The sequence below is a fragment of the Homo sapiens genome, chromosome 2 (genome assembly GCF_000001405.40).
Source record: "Homo sapiens chromosome 2, GRCh38.p14 Primary Assembly".
Classification (NCBI taxonomy): Eukaryota; Metazoa; Chordata; class Mammalia; order Primates; family Hominidae; genus Homo; species Homo sapiens.
The window spans coordinates 133,228,946-133,251,039 of record NC_000002.12 but is presented as its reverse complement, the minus strand read 5'-3'; the positions used below and the strand labels follow the sequence as shown (position 1 = coordinate 133,251,039).

At 38.5% G+C, this 22,094-nt stretch overlaps 1 protein-coding gene across 19 annotated transcripts in view; it reads left to right on the top strand.

The window, feature by feature from the left end:
- The window catches only part of NCKAP5 (NCK associated protein 5), a 1,003,049-nt gene that overhangs the window by 423,797 nt on the left and 557,158 nt on the right, over nucleotides 1-22,094 (top strand). Inside the window, exon 1 of one of the 19 annotated variants that reach the window (XM_011511105.2) lies at nucleotides 9,170-10,029. The exons of the other annotated variants lie outside the window; for them this stretch is intronic. The gene's annotated coding sequence lies outside the window, so the exon portion shown is untranslated. Of the gene's footprint in view, nucleotides 1-9,169; nucleotides 10,030-22,094 lie in introns of those variants that run through there. 19 annotated transcript variants of the gene reach the window in all.

Genomic DNA, 22,094 nt, shown 5'->3' with positions numbered 1-22,094 from the left:
TCCATGGATGCCAAACTTTGAGATATGGAGGGGCATATATTTTCTTTCTCTTTTAAGAAGAAAGCATATTTTCTTTTCTTGTTTTTGTTTGTTTGTTTGTTTGTTTGTTTGAGACAGGGTCTCACCCTGTCACCCAGGCTGGAGTGCTGTGACATGATCAAGGCTCACTGCAGCCTCAACCTCCTGGGCTCAAGCCATCTTGCTACCTCAGCCTCCCAAGTAGCTGAGACTACAGGTTTGTGCCATCATGCACAACTAATTTTTTGTAGAGATGTAGGCTCCCTGTGTTGTCCAGGCTGGTCTCAAGCTCCTGGCCTCAAGTGATCCTCCCTCCTTGGCTCCCCAAAGTGTCCGGGTTACAGGCATGAGCCATTGCCCCTGGCTGTATTTTCTTTAAATGCTTTTTAAAAATTGCGAGAGAACCTGTTTTCAATTTAGAACCTGTTTCCACTGAGAAAATAGCAGGCAGTGAGAACCTCAGGAGAGCAGAGCCTGCCTCAGAAGCAGGTGGCCCTGCCCTCGGCTGGCCCTCCACATGGTGTCAGGAACCACACCTGCATGCTGTCTTACGTGCCCTAAGCTGGTGGTGGGTACCCAGGATGAGGCAGAGGAACCACACCTGCATGCTGTCTTACATGCCCTAAGCTGGTGGTGGGTGTCCAGGGTGAGGCAGAGGGCTGAGCTGTCCAGGGCTCCAACCCATAGGAAATGTACGGTGGTGAAGCAGATCATCCGCTCTGCCTGCCCCGCTCGCCTAGACCTGGGCTGTTCCCTGGCTGCCTCACCCTCACGTCAAGGTCCTGATAAAGGTTGATCACATAGCTGTGGATTAATAGGTATTCCTTCCTGGGGAATATCTGTTCATTGAAACAAAACCTCAAAGGCTTGGACCCATTGTTTCTCCTTGTGCTCTGGCATTCCTTCCCTGATGTCTCAGGATCCTGATGTTTTCAGATTTCCTGTCATTCCTCTGTTTAAAACCTCTCTTCTTAGGTTGCAGTAAAATAATAATAATAATAATAATAATAATAATAATAATAAAACCCTTGGTGGTGGCTTTACATGTTCTGCCTTTTCTGTCTTCTTTCTTCACCTGCCTTCTTTACGTTGCTTCAGAAGCACATTGCTGGCTGCCTTGAGTCCTTTCTCCAGGATACTGCCACCTCATCTTTCAGGACTTAGCTTCAACCTCCTTCCTCCAAAGACTAGGTTAGGGCCCTTCCCAAACCGCCCCACCTTGTGTTCCCTTGGGCGTATGTGCTTCCTTTGTAGATCTCATTATATTTGTAGTTATTGGTTTCAAGTCAGAATTTATTGTCAGATTGTCAGCTTCGTAGACATAGAGCTTGAATCTGTGTTGTCTTTTGTTCAGAACCCATCACAGAGCTGGCACATAGGAGGTCCTCAATCAACAGTTACTTTGAAGGAGGAAGGGTGACTAACGTCAAGTCAGCCTGAAGGTGGTTGTACCTAGAACAATCAGAGATAAAGTGTATTGGTTTCCTGTTGCTGCTATAATAATTTGCCACAAACTTACTGGCTTGAGACAAAAGAAATGTATTATCTCATAGTTCTGGGGGTCAAAAGTGCTAAAATCAAGCTGTTGGCAGGGTTCCATTCATTTTGGAGGTTCTCAGGGAGAATTTAACCTTCCCCACTTTCTAGTGGTTGTTCACATTCCTTGGTTTCTGGCCTCTGGCAGAGGTATCACTTTGACCCCTACATCCATCCTCACATCTCTTTCTGAAGCTTTGACTCTTTCGAGTTCCTTTCACAAGGACCTTTGTTAATTGCATTGAGCCCTGCCAAAAAAATCCAGGATAACTTCCCCATCTCAAGATCTTTAACTTAGTTACACCTGCAAAGTTCCTTTTACCGTGTAAGGTAACTCATTCAAAGTTCTGGATGAGAATGCAGACCTATTGGGTGGGAGGGGCAGGGGCAGTGGCATAAGTAGGGGTGATTCAGGTAGTGGGATGGGGGAAGGGAATGGCTAAAGGGGAAGACACGGTCCAGGTTAAATGAATTTAGAGGCATCTCTCTGGCAGACGCTGAGCAAGAAAAACAAATTTAAAAGTAAGATACCAAGAAATGTTCAGGGATACTGCCAATTTAAAACTGAGTAGTGAGGAGCAGATGATTTTTCTCAGGATAAGATGTGATAAATTGGAACTCAGGAAGGAAGGAAGAAATGGACTTTTCCAAGGACCAGGGTTGGGTCTGTTGATCTGGTTGGGGAACGAACCGGAGCAGTCAAGGGTTAGACATGTGCTCTGGGCTGGATCAGTCTGAGTCAAGGATGTCCCTGTAAAACCATGAATTATCCAACTCTACACTGAAGAGAATTTAAAAGCTGCAGTGCAGCTCAACATTGTCCAGTCTTGTCCCTATATTTTATAAACTAGGAAACTAAGACCTAGGAAAGTTCAAATGGGTTGAGCAAGGACACATGGCCAGTTGACCTCAGAATTTGGACTAGAAACCAGGGTCCTGGCACCAATGCTGCCTTTTTCCCAGTGGACCAGAGGCCCTCCTCTGAAATCCTCTCACATGTTATATTCCCTGCCCTGTTTAGTGCACACTGCAGAGGAAGGGCATGGGAGACGAGCCCAGGGCACATGCCCAGGATCTCCATCTAAAAATAGCAGGTGGCCTTGTGATGGAACTCTGGGTGGTTTTGTTTGAGGATAAGGTAGAAGAAAAGAAACCCTTTCTGAATAGCATAGGGCGGGAAGTGGAAGACGCCCAACTTCTGTGGCGTGGGGTGTAGATTTAGGAATAAATAGTCCCAAACAGAGGCAGTGCAGATCACTCACCACACTTAGTCAAGGTAGCTTTATGATTCCACCACCTTCTCCCAGGGGCTGTAATGAAATCAACGAAAGTTGTGTGACCAGCTGATATGAAAGCAACTGCACATGGACAAGTTCTAGTTTTCCCTTTTAGCATGCAGCCAACTTCCTTCCTAAGTAATAACAAACAGTTTCTCCAGAATATCAATGCAGCTTTTTGGGATAAATTTCTTAGTTGCTTTGAACACTTCATCAGTAATGTGACTAGTCAACACATGACCTCATTGGCAGGGAGACTGCTAATCCCCTCATAGGACTTTACAATTTCCAATTCCCTTTTCCTAGTATAGTCACATATGAAAATACTTTAGGGTAACTCTGGAACAAGTAACATGAGACACACATGACTTGAAGTAGCCGCAATAGAAAATAGGATGTGGAAGGGAGAAATTGCAGAACTATGGAGCATGGAGAAAGGCTAACCTATGCAAAACAGGAAGTGAGTGTACACTTGAGAGATTTCATGCTGCCTACTTCCGGGTTGCCAGGTTTCAGAATGAATGAAGGCCTTCTCTGCTCCTAGGATAAGCTTCTATAAAGAAAACATATTCATATTTTTAAGTGGGTCTTTAACTATTCATGGATGTTGTCCCACAATAAATACTTTGTGTGGCTGATTGGAATGCTTTTAATAGCGTAAGACCTTGGGTTTCTAGTGAGTTTCCCTTTTAATTTAAAGTGGTGGGGGTGGAAACATGGATGGAGGCTACTTATGGGATTTTAATTTAATGCTGTAAAATTTGAAGGGGTTTGGAAATTCTTATGTGATTTTAATTGAATGCTGCAAAATTTTAAAGGGGTAGGAAATTAACATAGAATAAAATCACTTTATGTAAAAATTTATTTTTAATGCTTCTCACAGTTTTTATAACAACGTCATTAATGAGACTATCATAAAACAGCCATTAGCCACCCTGAAGCTAGATTTGTGTGTTGAAAATCAGGAAGAAACATGACAAATATCAAGATAATTTAAAGTGAAGACATCTCACAGTTCTGCCCCAAATTGCCAGTTATTTGATTCTTTTTAAGCAGGGCTGTGTGTATTAGGTGTTTATAAATGGAACAGTGTTTAAAAATACAAACTAACATTACTTTAAATAGTGCATGTGATATAAATGATTCTATTTGCAAGGCCTCACAACGTGCTAGATAGATCAGGCAGGCAGGAAGAATTGGATTTAGGAAATGGTTAAATTCCAGCCTCATTTCATGTTATTGAAAAGGATGCTGGATTGAGTAACTTCTGGGATACAGGGAATCCAAGGAGGAGTAAATAATCCTAAGGCTGAAGCACAACCTGGGGAGGGTCTACATGTCTTAATGTAGACTTTTAACACTACCTGTTTGCTCATTCATTTATTCTGCATCTCCTCATTTAATGTTATTTGGGCATAGACTCCTTGTTCAAATGAATTCTGCAGAACTCCACTTCTGGAAGAATATTGTTCAGACTTTCTTGATTGGAAGCCGCAGTGAGAAACACATTTTATTTTCAACGCGGTATGCATATAAATGCAAATATATACACACACACATGTAAATCACAAAAACAAAAATTTCAAGAAACAATGCTATTTCACAAAATGAAGCTGGATGAGGCAGCCATTGTATGTATTCCTTACGTTGCCCACACCATGTCTTACCCACTGATTCCAGCAATTGGCGGCAGCATCAGCTGGAATACGTACATTCTTGCTAAGGATCTGTGTAGGGCACTGTGGTGTTTTCTGCTTTTTTTCTATTTCACTTTTAGGGAAAATGGGTTACCATACATTATAGCGATTTTACTCCTTGCTAATTTGCTGTGACCTACAGTTTGAAAAAGTTTCCAGAGACAAGCAGTATTGTTAAAGGGATACATATTTTTAACAAGCTTTTTTTCATGTCATTGCTCCATTTGAGGATAGACAGTGATTTTTTTTTTTTCCATTAGAATACAGTTTGGTTTTCAGTGTTTTCTTCCTCAGTGACTCCCCTTTACCTACCTCACCAGGAAAGCTCCGTCTACTCAGTTACCATTCATTTTGCCCCTACAGCCTCCCTCCCTGGAATCATTCCTATTGCTGGGTCCTCACACTGTGAATTCAGATGCTATGCATGTTTCCACTCCACGGTCACATTCGTCTCTTCCATGAGGCCTTTCTTGATAATTTCAGACCCCAACCATGATTCTTTCTCAATCCCCACAGCACAGCTGTTGCAACATATGCTAGTTGACTGCCCTAGCATTATAATTGTTTAGTGTCTGCTATGACTCTCCCCACCTCCATTTTTTTTTTTTTTTTTTTCCTGATCAAATCAAAAAAATCCTTTTTTGCTCTGAGTTATAAACTCCTGGAGAGCAGGGGGAATTTTTTCAATACTTATAAATGTTTCAATCACTCCTAAAATATTGGCCACAAGCATAGGAATTTGCTGAATATGTGCTGATTGAAACTACTTGTGGCCTGTTTCCTGTTAACATTCTCCTGTTTTTCCTCTATGTTTTCTGGTTTCAAAATTTAATTGTATGTTCATTGAAAATAGGGATTGCGCCTTTAATTAAAAAAAAATTTATTGAGGTGTAACATACATACGGAAGAGCACACAAATCAAGTGTTAGTATACTGGTTTTTCACAAAGTGAAAACACCTATGTAATTAGCACCCAGGTCAAGAAAAAGAATCCAAGAATTCACTCCATGCCTTGTTTGTCATGCACAAATACTATCCTGATTTCTGTTACCATAAATTGGTTTTTCCCCATATTAGACCTCTGTATGAATAGAATAATTCAATACAAATAGAATAATTCAATACTTATGGTTTGTTTTTTTCTCGCTGTTTTTTCATTCAATATTGTATTCGTGATACTTACCTATATCATTGCAAGTAGTCGTAAACACTTCATTCTAGTTACGGGGCAGCATTTCATTAAATGAATATAGCATGATTTATTGATGTAGTTGATCGTTGATGGACAATTGGGTATGTCCTGGTCTGGGTCTTCTGTGTAATGTGCTGCTATGAACAGGTTTGTACATATTTTTGGTGAGTATTTTGTTGGCTCTTGGGTATACACGTGTTCTATCAGTTCCCCAAAGTGTTTGTACCAGTTTACACTCCCACCAGCAGTGGCAGAGACCTCTGTCTTCTCCACATATTTGCCTACAGACACTTGGTATTTTCAAGTCTTTAACTGGGTGTAGATATTGCAAATACATTTTCCCTTTATAGATTTATTAAAATTAATAAAGTCCTTTATGCTTAGTACTTGCTATGTGTTAAGAAACCTTTGCCTCTTCCAAAGTCATCAAGATATGTTCTTATGTTCTTGTTTTATTTTTTACAGAAGCTTTGTTATTTTCTCTCTTATATTTGCAGTCCCTCAGGAATTGAGTTTTGTTTGTGGTATGAATTAAAGATTAAGAGTTACTTTCCTTCATATGGGTGTCCAACTGACCCATAATCATATAGTGAGAAGACTTTTCCCATACTTTCCTTGTCACTCTTGTTGTATATCAAGTGACAGTCTTAACTGTGAGTCTCTTTCTAGCTCCTCCTTTTCTCCCATGGGCCTGTTTTTTTAAATATATATTTATATGTTTTGCTTCAAACACACTGTCTTAATTCTATATCTTTATGGCATTTCTTAAGGTGTGGTTAAGTCCTTTAATTCTGTTGTCCTTTAGAATTGTCTTGGGTATTGTAGCCCTTAATTTTTTAAGATTCATGCTAACTGTGCATAAAATAGGGTTATATAAATACTATACTACCAATAAATTGTATGAGACAGATTGGAGGTTAAAGAGAAAAGTCACACTGAAAAAAATCAGTGAGAAAAGTTAATGCATGTTGGAACATAACAGTTTGTTGTATTTTGCATTTGCAAATCTCAAAATTTTAGGGAGGATCTTACAAAGAGATAGATTACAAGGGAATTTGACAATAAAGATGATGAACTAAGGTGATATTGAAGTAGGAAGCTGTACACAAAGAATATCCATCTTTATCAAACTTGTTTACTGAAAGAAAAGTTTAAATATAGTGAAGGAAATAAAAATGACAAATCTCAAAAAATTAAACAATGAATAAATCTAGAAATAGATCTCTGGAGATGATTCTGTTTTGAATGGGATAGGATTGAAATCCATGCAGAAAAACAGTCAGACCCTAGTATCAGTTTATATTTTAGCTTGTCTACCATTTTCCTATTGAGGGAGCCACAAAAGAAAAATCTTAATTTTTTATATTTGTAAATAGAAGGAAACTCTTGACCCTGAATTGCAGCTTGTGGCCTATGGTATATGCACAGGCACTGAAAAGAAAAACACGTTACAAGTGATGGGAATTACATGCATTTTTACCTCAGAAGAAGAGATATAGGGAAAGAGAAAGAAGCAAACGTTGTTTTTCTTGGAGCACATCAAGCAGGTTTAACAAATGTTTACTTGTGGTTTGGGCATTATTACTCCTCGCAGCCTTAGTTAGAAGTACATTCATGTGTATTCTAATTTAAATCCATAGTATCAATCAAATATGATAGCTTCAGCTTGCAAATACTGAGCAAAAGTGGGAGAGGGCTTAGATTAGTTGAACGTGTTGAAAAATGGAGCTTCCAGCCATGGCATCCGTGAGGGTAAGAAATGGTTTTATTTTATGTAGTTGCAGGGAAGAGGACCAATTGGCATTTAAAAGATAGTTTCCATAGCTACTGGACTGAATCAAAAGAAAACACTGTCACAGCATTTTCTCCTTTACTACCTTGCTGCTTTATGGTAGGGACCAAAGCAAGTATTTTTCAGGAGAGGGCCTAGTTCTTCCATAGATGAAATGCTATGAAATGCTTCATTCAATCTAGTGTCTCCTAGAGGAGTAGACTTCCTTTGTTTTGAGAATCTCATCATACATCCACAATTTGATTAGAACCACTTATTTGTTCAAAAGGGACTTACAGGAAAGGTTCTCTCTAGGTACAACTTTGTTGGGCAGCTCCCCCTCCTGCCAATTTAAACTCTATTTCATGATTTAAAAAATGGGGGTTGCACTTAAATTATGGAAGAATCCAGGATTTGTTGCTCCTAGCCTTTTTAAAAAATATATATAAGTATGAAGAAGGATTTCTCAAAGGACCCTAAAAGTGATTACTTTTGATTTTATAGCATAATATGGTTAGTCAAAAACACCAAACACTTAAAATGTGAAAGAAACATGATTATGAGGAAGTCTTTCTTTTTATTTTGTGACATAAACTGTACATTGGGGTATATTGTGTAACTCCAGTTTTATGGTCATCTAACGCTTGAGCTAATCATGCTCTGATCTTTTGTACAAAGTACTCTATCATGTAGGCCTACTATAAAAAAACTTTCCCGGTAGTGCCCTGCAAGATATGAGAGGAGGAGAAATAGACATTCACTTTTGCTTTATTGTTTACATGTTTGTCAGTTTACATTTATGCATCCTTGAGTGTCTTCGCTGTTTTTCAAAAGCATTTTCTCATTCATTTGTATTTCTTTTAAAGTCGATAGATTGGAGCTGTCTTCTAAGAAAGATCTGGCTGATGATATTGCATGCAGTAGCAGTATTATTTCCAGGGCTATACCACAGTTTGCATTAATATAGTTAAAGGTAGAATCTCCGTTAGCTACCCACTCCAACACTCTTAGTAAACCCACAATCCAAGTAAGAAGGGTGATCTGGTTCTGCAAATGTAGCTTCAAGACCAATAGGTTGCCTTCTGCTTCCAATCAGATTGTTTCTTGGAAGCCTGCTTAGAAATTCTGAAACCAGCCCTGTTTATATTTGGGTATCACCTCCATGCTAGAGCTACTTTCTTGCTTTTACTTTTCTTGAGACAAGGCTATCTGTCTTTCATTATAGTAGAATGTGATTCCAGGATAAGATAAAGTTGATTTTGTATATGTTCTCTCAGTTAAAAAAAAAAGAAAAGAAAAGAAAAGAAAAACAGAGTATTTACCAAGCTGGATTCTGACAGCATTGGTTACCTTCAGAAGGTGGATGTGTAATTCAGAATGGAGCTATTTTGCCTTGGTCATTTTTGCTTTTTTTTTTTTTTTTTTTTTTGAGACAGAGTTTCGCTCTTGTTGCCCAGGCTGGAGTGCAACAGTGTGATCTCGGCTCAACGCAAACCTCTGCCTCCCGGTTTCAAATGATTCTCCTGCCTCAGCCTTCTGAGTAGCTGGGATTACAGGCACCCGCCACCATGCCCAGCTAATTTTTGTATTTTTAGTAGAGATGGAGTTTTACCATGTTGGCCAGGCTGGTCTCGAACTCCTTACCTCAAGGTCCAACCACCTCGGCCTCTCAAAGTGCTGGGATTACAGGTGTGAGCCACCGTGCCCGGCTATTTTTACTTTTAATATGCAAAATATCCCTACATGCATATCACCCATCTCATTCTGAAATTCATATATCTGAGAGACAAGCCTGGAGAAGGCCTAGTGGACAAACCACGTTCCTGGGATATGTGAAAGAAGGAGGGCTTGTCCCCCTGCAGATGCCACTGGTGAGGAAGAGTTATGTGGCAGAGTAGATGAAAATAGAAGAGGAGAGGAAATGCCGTTTACTCCTCAGAATCAAAGGAGGAAGGTTACCATAGACAGTCATATCTTACATCTCTGGGAAGTTCAGTTGGAACCACAGTTGGAAATGAATGTCAGTGCCAGGGCTATGACTTGCATTCATTGCTAAGTACTAGATAAATGCCTGTGTTTATAAATACAAATTATATTTTGCAAAGATGATGTAAATAAGTCTTCTGAGACAGATCCAGAAGTCAGATTCCAGAGCTGGAAGTCATTAGTGATTTTGATCATGTTTGTAAAATACTTTGAGCTCCTCAGCTCCAGCATGTGATGTGAGTGTGTCTCTACATAAGAATTTGTATTTATTACTGATGAGCAACACTGCCGACTGAAATAAAACCCAAAATAGGGCGAGGAAGAGAGCTCTCTGACATTTAAAAGCAAACAATTTCTGGAATGAAGTTACAGAAAATATCAATAGTTGTTTATAAGCACAGCGTGGGAATGTTTCATTCAAAGCACATGAATTTAGCTAAAACGTTTAACTTGCTCTCTAAAGACCAGTTTTCTTTGCCTGCTAGTCACAGGCTTGAAACAGAAAGTAAATCCTGTGTTGAGGATTAAGTTCTAGAATAAGAAAATAGTAAGGTAAGAAAACTTGGAAACTCATGATTCTTTTTAGATATACAGAATTTTAGCAAAATTGTTTTTTCTTTTAAAAAAGATGTAGGGAGGAGGGTGAATGCAAGAAACAGAATGTAGTAAAATGCTTTTCATGAAATAAGATTAATCTCCTATCCTGAATGAAAATAGAGGCAGAAGACAGCCATCCAGTGAGTGCTTTGTAAATCACATTATTAGGACTTGCTTAAAGCATTCACCTAGTGTTCTATATGGAGGTGGTTGGTGGAACTGCCATATGCCAGCTTGGGTCTGGGCCAGGGAGGCATGCAGGAAGGGTTTTGCATTCCAGTCATCCTCTCCCGCCTGGCAAAAAGCACTTTTTGTATGTGGTGGAAGTACCCAAGTTATACGTACACAATGGGAGGCTGAAATTTCATTTCCACATGAAATTAGTGAATAATGGCTTTCAAGACTCACTGAATAAGCATCCCCAAGACAGTCAGCATTGTAAGTCTGTACAGGACGCCAGCCATCTGGATGAAAAATAAATCAGTTATGCAGCTACTTTGGGGGGCATCAGAGATGGGCATGCAAGGGTGAAGTGTACGGACACTGTATTGGAGCAATTTGCTTTTCATCAGGGCTTTGTTGTGGCCAAGTTTTGTCACTTCTGTGATTCCATGTCACTCTTGTACTGTTCTAAGTCACTAACTTATTAAGCCAGAAATGCATATATTTTTATCTCCAATTGTAATATATTGGCCACTGGGTGTCTGTTTAATGGTTTTATCTTACTATTTTATTATCTTTATTGTTTACCATTTCTTAAAATACACCTTCACATTAATTTTGGATTTTAGCCTTTAGGAGAGTAGGTATTCTATCTGCATGGTGGCTAAGTTCGTAACTCCGGAATGCGCAACTCTAGACAGTGTTATCAATAATGAGGTGTTTATTTTCTCCAAATTGTGATGGTGAGGTCTCCTTTCTGGCTAATGTAAGACTAGCTGTTAAAATATGATTTGAGAAAATATGATTTCAGTTTTGGTAAGGGTTATTTGAAAAAAAAATAAGGCCAGGGTTATTTATTGTTAGATAGTCAGACATTGGTAATTTGCCTACATATAATAGTTAAAGCTAAAGCATGGAAACCAAACTGAGAGAAGCAGATGGAAACATCCCCTAGGTAAGTCTGAACATTTGTTCTTAAAAATGGAACAAGTGCTAGCAAGCTGTATAATCATTTTCTTTTAATTACACCTGACTTTGATTTTTAAAAAATGTTGGCAAAGCAGTGTTTCAGTTTTATTTAACCTACTTTAGTTTCCTTCAGAAACTCTTTAGAATTTAGCACATAAACAGAGTATAAATAAAAGGTAGCAGGATTTGAAGGAAATCAGTTAATGGGCTGTAAAATAATTCTTTGGTGTGAGATTTTTAGAGAATAGAAAAAATCAGAATCTAGCTGGTACAGTCAAATACCTTGATTTTCCTATAGTCTAGTTCTATAACAGAAAAGTATTTCTACTTCCTGTATAGAGTATACAGGAAGATATGAGGTACCAATAGAGTTTCCTTGATTTGCTAGAATTCCATGTTGTGGTATTTCACGGAATATAGTACTCAAAATCTACATGAATATCATAACTGCTTGTTTCATGCTCTTGTAAATTTGTTGATTCACATGCTTCTCTAAATAAATGGGCTAGCAGTTGGAGTTTTGCTGTATTTTGCAGTCTGAGCTATTCACTGAAATTGTATTAGTGGGATTTGGCTTGTAACTTTATAGTGGAAGCTATATACATTAATTAATTTTGAGGCAGCTGCTCATTAAAAATTCTTTCTAGTAAACATAATAAGTGAACATATTTTAGAAGATGCCAGCACATAATGTATTAAATGGACTTTGATAAGTGAATTTGGCTAATTAATTTGATTGGCAAGTATGAAAAACCCATATTTATAGGAATCCAACATGATGGACTGTATAATAGTATTTTAAATCCTGTTTTAACATTAGGGATTGTATGTATAACATAAGGACCTCATAAAGGAATTGGGGTTCACTATTAACCTGGAATAGAAGATATATTACCAGGTTACATACAGACTGAGAGAATGGGAAGGGGATTTTACAGACCCTCTTTCATTCATTCCTCTTGCTTTGTAATGAGAAAACCAGGACCAGACAGGTTGTAGGACTAAACATTTATGTGGTAGAGGAACTGGAAGCAGGACCTTGGCCCCTGATACTTGAAATGTTTTTTCAAACCTACCTGTGGAACATGTCTTCATGGAACCCCCTTGTCTAGAGAAGAGTGAGATAAGGCTAGAAGCTACTGCTGAGCCCTTTCATTTATAAATAAAGAATGCTTTGCTCTGGAATGTAGCTAGTTGGGGCTGCTTAAAAAGATTTTGGAGTCTTTTCCAGAAGTCGTTTAGGAGAGACTAGACAAATGTAAGTAAGTACTGGATGGTACTGACTGAGTGAGAAAAAATAAGCAAAAACAACGGTGCCTGTGTCTTCTTTTTAACAGGGAGACAAGCCATTTCATGAAGGAGCTTCTTTCTCATCCACAAGACTGAGAGCCTTCTATAGTTAGTCATAGAGAGAATGCTATAGGCTCTGCGGTCCTGTGGCCCTGGCAGTGATACTACCAGAGACTTTACCAAAGGCTGGGCTTGAAGCCACTGCCTTCGCCATGACCCATGTGGGAGATTGAGTTCTATCCACTGATTCTATTTCTCTCCAGGAGCCTCAAGCACATGAGCCACTCAGATTCTAAACCTGGGAAAAGACATAGAATCACAGATATATTGTTTTATAAGTAGAGGGGGAGGTAAGAAAGGATAAAATAGGTGTGCTCATATAATTAAAGTGTCACTTTTTTGAGAAAAACTAAAGTGAGGAAACTTTCCATCACTTGACTAAGTGAGTTAACCTCTGGCTTAGTCAAGTGATGGAAGTTGTGTTCTCTTTTGCATGAGAGCGAATGACAAGTTTTCATTGGCCACAGTGGTGGAGCTTTCCTTCCCGTGCTTGTAACAGCCAGAAACACCTCCTGCAGGACCCGTGCCTTCACCTTCTGGTTAACTTGGTTACTTTCCATTAGTTGAGGTTTGGGTGGCAAAAGTGACTTGAGAATGAAGGGGAGAGGTGCTGGTACAATCCAGTCTGAGTGCATGAGGTTTCCCTCCTACCTCCAGAGAATTGTAGCTGCATCATTTTTGCAGTTTTCCTATTAACTAGAGCTGAGTTAGTAAAGTGTGTCCCCAGGAGGAGCCTTCAATGCTGAGGTGAGACATCTTTTAAAGGGTTATTTTCAAAGCAGCAGCCTCTGCTGAGTAACATTTTTCTTTGCAGTTACATCTTCAATTGTCTTTATCACGGTGCAGTGCATTTGTTTACACGTGTGTCTCACCTACTAGACTGTGAGCTTCAGAAAGGCTGTTCAGTATCTGCTTCTCCTGGGGATTTCTGATGGCTGGCCCAGAGCAGAACTCAATAAGTGTGTGTGGAATTAATGAATATTGAATGAATAAATAAAGTCATATGTAAATGGGTGCTTTCAAAGTCTTGAAGTTTTTTCTTCAGTTTTTAATGCAATGTTCTAAAACTTTAGCCTTTTTTAATGTCACTTATTCTTTTGCTATCCTTTTATTCTTATATTTTCATAGAACAAAGAAATACTTGTCTAGGTTCTTGGTTCTGAATTAAGGAGATCTGGATTAAAGTGGTCTTAACTCCATCAAGCAAGGGTTTACTTTGTTATACTTGTACACAAAATTAAAAAATCTATCTCTGCTTAGGAATATAATAATTTGTCATAATTAATCAAGGTATCAAAGTACAGCTTTTTTTTAAAATAAGCAATGCACTGATGTTTCATAAAGTAAATTTTCTAGATTCAGCCAATAGGAGCATTTCTTGGTGAGTTTCTACTCTTTTTTTTAAATTTGATACAGAGATTTCGCTCTTTTTTTTTTATTATACTTTAAGTTCTAGGGTACATGTGCCCAAGGTACAGGTTTGTTACATATGTATACGTGTGCCATGTTGGTGTGCTGCACCCGTTAACTTGACATGGAGAGGAGAGAGGGATAGCATTAGGGGATATACCTAATGTAAATGGTGAATTTCTACTCTTATGTGGACTTTGAGTTGAAACCCTGTGTTTCCTACTTTCGGGACAGCTTCATAATTGAAGCCTATAGAGGTAATAGACCTGTGACTGAGATTCCCAAGCTTGAACTTCCATTTTAATTGGATTTACTTGAAGGCTTATGAATAAAAGGCTGTGACTTTCTAATTAGCAGAGTTGATAGCATATTGTCTAACAATGTTAACCTGATTTAGAATCCAAATGCCTTTTGATGGATTTTAAATTATATCTTAATATTTCCCACTTCTAATGTATTGACTTAAGTGATACATTCAAATGAAATTTCATTTTTCCTATCATCATCTATGAAATATGCTGTATCTCAGTTTGATATTTTTAGTTGTGGTGTTTGTCAGACACCTAAGAGAACAGTCCTTTTACTTATAGGTAGGTAAAATCCCTTGCGTTCCTAATTATGCTGGTCACTTCACAGGTCATTAACCTGTATATTTTTTCAGAACCTAAAAACAACTGGTAGGGTATATATGCTGAGTTCTCCTTATTCATAGTAGTTATGTTCTATGAAGTCACCTTAAACACTGAACCATTGCTCCTAAGGAAAATACAGGGTTAGATTCCTGTGAGCCTCTGGCTCTGGTTTTTTAGCTGATCAGTGCATAACCTTATGGTGTTTTATGTATGTTTCTGCTTAAAGACTCCTTTTTAATATGTATTGTTGATTCATCAGCATCGAACTCATAGCCAACAGCACTATGACTCATACCTGAAGCTTGTCTAACACATACATTTTATCCATAAGACATATCACAGCTTTTTTTTTTTTTTTTTTTTTTTTTTTTTGGTCTGAGACAGGGTCTTGATTTGTCACCCAAGTTGCAGGGCAGTGATGTGATCTTGGCTCACTGCAGCCTCCACTTCCCAGCTCAAGCAATCTTCCAGCCTCAGCCTATAGAGTAACTGGGACCAAGGCACAAGCCACCATTTTTTTGCATTTTTTTTTTTTTTTGAGATAGAGTTTCACTTTTGTTGCCCAGGCTGGAGTGCGATGGCACAATCTCGGCTCACTGCAACATCTGCCTCCCGGGTCCAAGTGATTCTCCTGCCTCAGCCTCCCGAGTAGCTGGGATTACAGGTGCATGCCACCATGCCTGGCTAATTTTGTATTTTTAGTACTGATGGGGTTCCTCCATGTTGGTCAGGCTGGTCTCGAACTCCTAACCTCAGGTGATCCATGCCACCTCGGCCTCCCAACATGCTGGGATTGCAGGCATGAGCCACTGTGCCCAGCCTGTATTTTGTATTTTGAGCCACCACTTTCTGGCATTATTATTTTCTTGTAGAGATGGGGTTTTGCCTTGTTGCCCAGTCTGGGTCTTGAACTCCTAAGCTCAAAGCGATCCACCGCCTCTGCCTCCCAAAATGCTAGGATTACAGGTGTGAGCCACCATGCCCAGCCTGCCTTTTTGTACTCAGGAGGACTTAGTACTTCAGTACTGTAATTGGGGGCCATTTTAATCAATACAGTCACCAACAGAAAGCACAAACATGCAAAAAGTGGCACTAAATAGATCACGAAAAGGACACCAAGAGCTGTGGAGCGTCACCCCTTGCGTGACCTCAGTTTGGAATGTGCACATTGGTCACTCACACTTTCACTGCTCTGTGCAAGTCTGCAAGGGACAGTGAAGGCATCATGAGTATTGATCTTGGGGTTGCAAATACATTTGAGTGAGCAGACCAATTTCTAATTGTGGAATTACCAATTTATAATTGTGTGAGTAATGAAGACTGACTGTATTATCACCAGAGTTTGAAGATAAGGAATCCAAGACTCAGATGTTAAGTAGCTTCAGTTCCATGAGACTCTACCAAGGACCTAACGTGCATTGAGGATGTACTGAGTTGGATGGGGTCCCTCAGTCGAGACTTATGACCCTGGTTGTTAACTGGCCTTAAGAATTTCTGTCTTAAGGCCAATTAACAACCAGGGTCATAAGTCTCGACTGAGGGACACTTATTTATATAAATATTTACTTAAGAATGAATTGCTTACTGTGTCTAAATGTATTTTTTCTTTGTTCTTTCCTTAACATTTTTCATCTTTCTGAAAAGTAAAGTCAGTCTTTAAAACTTTAGGTAACTATTTTAAAAGTAAAATTTGACATAAAGCCTTCTCTTGTCACCCTCTAGGATGAACTACATTTCTTTCAAAAGCACCTGGAAAATTATAAAGAATGCATACAGTTTAGCCCATAGCCGAGAACTGAGAGATGGAGGTCAAAGTCAGAAAATCTGCGAACAGTTTTATATTTTGTTCCTGACACACTTCTCCAGATATGAGCGACATGTTAAAGAACATACAGTGGTCAGTACTGGAATTAGTGTTCCAAGAGCTAGCTTATTCCTCATGGAGAATCAGTGTTGTGGAGACCTAGATCTGCCGTATTTCAAGGCAGACTTGTCAGGGTCCAGAGAACTAATGGTCTCATAGTTTGGCAGAATAGCACACTAGTACATTTTGTTTAATGGTTATGAGTTTTATTGGGAAAGAAATGTAAGAGCCCCGCAATGTGTTCAGATCATCTTTGTTGCTGATTTGCTCCATGCTGTGTGAATGTCTTGAAATTCTGCAGTGTACTTTTGTTTATCTAAAGGACTTATGTTATGGCCATCAGACCTTTCAGAAATTGGAGTTCTATCCAGTTCTCTCCACTGATGACCAGCCTTGAAATCCCCTTCATAAGAGTCTCCCTTCCTGACATTCTGGCACTTCTGGCCAAACCCTGTCACAAAATGAACTCCTTAAGCTCTCATGCGATCCTCCCTTAAGCTCTCATGAGGAGTGCTCCTATCTGCTGCAGTTTGGAGCCTGTGTTTGCTCCCAGGTTTTAGTCTGGTTGTCTGGCCCTTCTTTCGATAGTCCTGATGGGTTCTTCAATGATTTGAGTCATTGTTGGTTTGATCGTGTTTCCACAGCAAAGTAAAATTTCCATTAATAGCCAACAAATATTAGGCTCCAAAGAAATCGCCTCTGTAGGTATGTGGGGAGAAGGGGTATATAGTACAGTGGTTTAGAGTGTGGGCTGCTCAGTTGGAAGTTCTGATTCCTCATCTATAAAAAGAAGAGATTTGTATGGATTCAATAAGACGATGCATGTAAAAGCATGTAGAATAGTAGCAGCTACACAGTGATGGCTTAATGTGGTACTTACCAGCTAATTATGTTGAAGGTATTTTATTTTTTCCCAACTCTAGCAAATTGTCAACATAGGCTTTGAAATAGCTCATCAGGCTGCACTTGGTATATAAAATTGGTATTTAAATGTAGTTAAGTTATACATATAATGTATATGAAACTAGGAAATAGGAAGCATCTATATTCAGCAGAATATAGATGTTTATATATGGATGAATATATTCAATTGTTTATAAACTCGGACTTGTGAAAATACTCTTTTGATTTTTTTATTTCAATGCAATATGTATGTATGTCAGCAAAATAATATAGGGATACTGGCCAGTGTTGAACATAACTTTATAGAGTTAGACACTATTTATGCTTGCATAAAATGGGTATTGGTAAGGTCAATGACCAAAGTAGTGTTTAACAACTTCTAGCTTTCGGAGGGCAGGGACCATATCTGTGAGTGTGTGATTTCTAAAATCCTTTTTCTTCATATTGACCTATACGTAATAGGTCAATGAATATAATGCTGAATTAAGAAGTATAAGGAGTTGTGTTGTCAGCCTTTCCCATTTGTCTCTATTGCTTCTTTAACATTTTCCTCGTCCCACAGACACAGTGGCATGGGCTGGTTTTTACAGCACTGCAGGTTTTTCCAGGGAGCAGCAGTTATCCATTCTTGGACTCACATAACACAGAAGCCAGTCAGTTGAATAGATTTAATGTGGCTCCTTCTGCAAGTGCTTATCTCGTTCACTGATTGCCTTGTAATTGTTATTACTTTGAAAACATTTCTTTTTCATCTATACACTCAGATTATATAGAAGGAGACATTTTGCCATTGAGGTATATTCTTATCAAGATGTTATTCTTCTATTTTATAAATAATACTATTATTAGACATATGATGAAATTCTCTTGTAGTCAGTGCCAAAGGAAATAAGACAATAGGCTTGTGCAGTAGGGGCTTAGCTAGATAGAGCCTATCTTGTTTTTCTTGCTTGCCTTTAATCAGTGCTCATATTCTCTTAAAACTTTCTTATCCATCTTTTGTGGGCACTATTTGTGAATTTCCTTCCTTTCTTCCTTTTCTTTTGGTGACAGTGTTTCTGTTTCTTTAATTTATCAAGGTGTCACACACAACGGTCTTATTGTATTGTGCTAAAGACATTCTCCATTTGTGAGAGTCCCTGTTTGTTGCTGGGTTTTCTTTCCTTTTGGACTAAGTAGGACATTTCTAGTTGTTTTCCCTTTGACCTTTTAAATGTATTTCAGTTCCTAACTTTGTCTGTTAGTGCTTTTCTTTTTCTTTTCAATGGCTTGAGCCCTTCTCCAAAGCAGAAATATATTTTTTAAATGGAATTCCGATCTCTGACAATATCCATTCTTTGTTGTGACTTAAAACATTTTTAAACATTTATTTAATTTATATATATTTTTAGAGATAGAGTGTTGCCATGTTGTTCAGGCTGGCCTTGAACTCCTGGGCTCAAGCAATCCTTCTGAGTAGCTGAAACTACAGACTCACTGCCATGCTTGGCTCTGTGACTTTTGAATATTATGCCTTTCTTGTGTATAGATGCCTGCAGAATCCTTTTCTCTTTGGTTTTGTTTTCTCTTTTGTCTTTTAGACAGGAGAACTTAGCTAAGAAACAGAGAAAACCCACACAGCTTTTGTGATCGAGAATGACATACACTACATATCTGAGTTTTATCATTATACACTTAAAAAGTGTGTCCTTTCTGTACCTATTTAGTTACATGCGAAGTGATTTTTGCTAGAAGACACACAAAGCTTTAGCAAATGTCTTTCTTCTGGATTTCGGAAAATGACTAGCATAAAATTAAAGGGAACAAACTCCTCAGCAATTTACATGTTCCATTTGTTTTCTTGTAAGATTTATTAATCTTTGGTACATTTCTTTCAGACAAGCAAATTTAGAGATCATGAGAGTGGTAAGTGTGCAGAATAACTTTTGGTTTTATTTGCCACTGTTAACAGTGAAAAGCAGTCATAGGTACCGTTAGTATTTTTTTTTTGATGGACCCTGTCTGTTGCCTGTTTCAGTGTTTTGTTGGATATGAGAGCCATTCTAATCATTGTTGTTTCAGAGCAAATAGCTAGTGAGTTATTTATACAGCAAGTAAGTACCAAATAAAGCCTTTTGATAGCAGGAGTAACTTGCTGTCTGTGTTATATCTTAGTTTAGATAAGCCTAGATCCTGATTCATCCCTTCCAACCTGCTTCACACATGAGCGTAGTTAAACTGGGCTCTGTTAATTGTCACCTTCCCTAGTAACCCCTTTGACTTTTGTGAATGGGCCAGATTAAAACCCAGTAAGATGTTAGGTAACAAAGGGTGAATATGTTGATTGGTTTTAAACATGTCTTTTAGTCTAGACAGAGGTACTCATATTTCCATGTGTTTTCCTTTTAAACACAGTCATCCCTGGAAAGAGGACTAGTTTGAATCCATGGATGACTCTGTTGTAATCAGTTTTACTCTTTAACTCACTTTGATTTTTCTCAATAAAATACTCAACCTCTTTGAGCCTCCATTTTCTCCATTCTTTATTCTTTGAGCCTCCATTTCTTGTCACTAAAATGAGGGTATTGTTCTCGAAGACCTTCGTGTAGTAGTCTATGATTTATAAGATGGTTTGGAGGGAGCCTCACAATATCTTTCCCTTGGGCATGAGATGTCTTGCTATCTGCTCATTACAACATATTTGGAATGGTTGGCAGCAGCATCCCCTAAAAACCATTTGTGTGGAACATTAATTGGTAAGATGCTTTATTATAAAATTTTGTACATTAGCAAATTGAAGCCTGTAAAAACTCAAGAAACAAACTTGTCACAGTGATTTCTAATCCTTTACCTGTAAAAACAAAGAGATACCAGTTATTAATATCTCACTAAAATTGCCTCCTACATATGGGAAACTAGTGTTGAAGTCGGTTTCAGAAAAAGATAGCTGAGGGAAAAGAGGAAAATGGGAAAAGGAGGAATATCTTCATGGTCTAAGTAAACAACCAAACTTTGCAGAAGGAAAGCTGTCTGGAGCCTTTGGGTCAGCAAGAGTAAAGCCCTGAATTATATGTAAATAAATGTGTTATTACTGGATCAAGAAGGGAGCATTGAAGAGAAGAAGTTTGCAAAAAGCTCTCAGGGTGACCAGTGTAACATTAGAACTCAGTCAAAAGGATTTGAGAACCAGAAAAGCATTTGATTTGATTAGTATTGGTAATGTTTCCTCTAGTGTTCTTTTCTCTAATTGCACTCTTCAGGTTAGTATCTGGCTCACTCATACTTTGTTTCTTATCTACATGCTTTATAAAAATAACTCATTTAATGCCCACAGCAACGCTAGAAGGAGGTAGGACATTAAGGCACAGAGAGTATATGAGTGGAGAGAGGAGGTTATGTTATGGTAATAAATGGCCTCCAGATCCTAGTGGGTTATAACTACAGTGGCATCCTTATTGCCCACCAGATGCCTGTGGTGGGTCAGCTGCTCTGCTCCAAGGTATATGCACTTCAGGACCCAGGCCAGTGTCCTTCTTGACCATTGCTGATCATAATGAGAGAACATGGCAGATCTTGTCTGGCTCTTAGTGTTTTCTGCACAGAAGTTATGTGTGCTTCTTTTATCCATGATTTATTGCTCAAAACAAGTGAGATGCCAAGTCTAGTATCAGTGGGGTGGGGAAGTAAAATCTTCCCAACAGAAAGGGGCAGTGTGTGTTTGTAAATAAAGATACACTCCCACAGAGAGAGTGTGAGTAACTTTCCCTAGCCAGTGAGCTGGTACGTGGAAGAGCTGGGAGTCTGAACTCAAGCAGAACAGTGTCTGACTCCCATGATGAATTAAAATGGATTTTGAGAGGTTCCCATGAAATTCATGGAGGTTTTGTGTGTGTGTGTCCGGATTACTGAACAATTATATGTAATATAAAAATCATAACTCCAGCTAGAATCATGTTGCTAGCATAGCATTAAGGTTAAGAATGAGGACTTTGGTGCCAAGAGTGCCTGTGTCCAGGTGTAGCTCTGGGACCTTGTGGAAGATACTTAATCTCTCTGTACTTTATTTTCAACATCTGTAAAATGGGGAAAATAATAGCACCTACGTCATGGTTGGGGTAAGGATTAAACAAGTTAATAACTAACGTAAAGTACTCGGAATGTAATTACTTTATAAGTGTTCATCATTATCATTATCCTCTTTTATCTTAAATGTAAACAAAATATGTTCAAAGACTGTGCTCAGCACCAGAGCTATCATCTGCCTTCGGGCACGATGGGTATCTCATATCCTTTAGGAAGTGGCTTTTTGTTGGCTCTGTGTCTGAACTCACTATTTGCTTTTCCCCTCTCTTGTGTTAAGATACAAGAAATGCCCTCATTTCTTATTTTGTTCTCTCTCACTGTGTCAGTGAAATAGATGATAATTATGAATACTTAGATTTATTTATGTATAAACAGAAAGTTTCCAGTAGCCTGTTTTGACAGAATTTTCCTGCCTGGTTGTTATCCTATTTTTTTTCTACAAAAACATTTCCTGTTGTTTGCCCACCAATTGCTTTCCTGTTTTCTGAAACACTTTTACCTCTCTTGAGAGTGTCCTAGGTGGTTACACATCTAAGAATTTTTTCTTCCTTTCAGAGTTTTACGTAGTGGAATAGATATTATTTTACAGATTGGTTCCATTCATTTCACCTCTCTTAAGATTCTAGGCTGTCTGTTATTAGGTTCTTTTATTTTTCCCTCTGAAGATT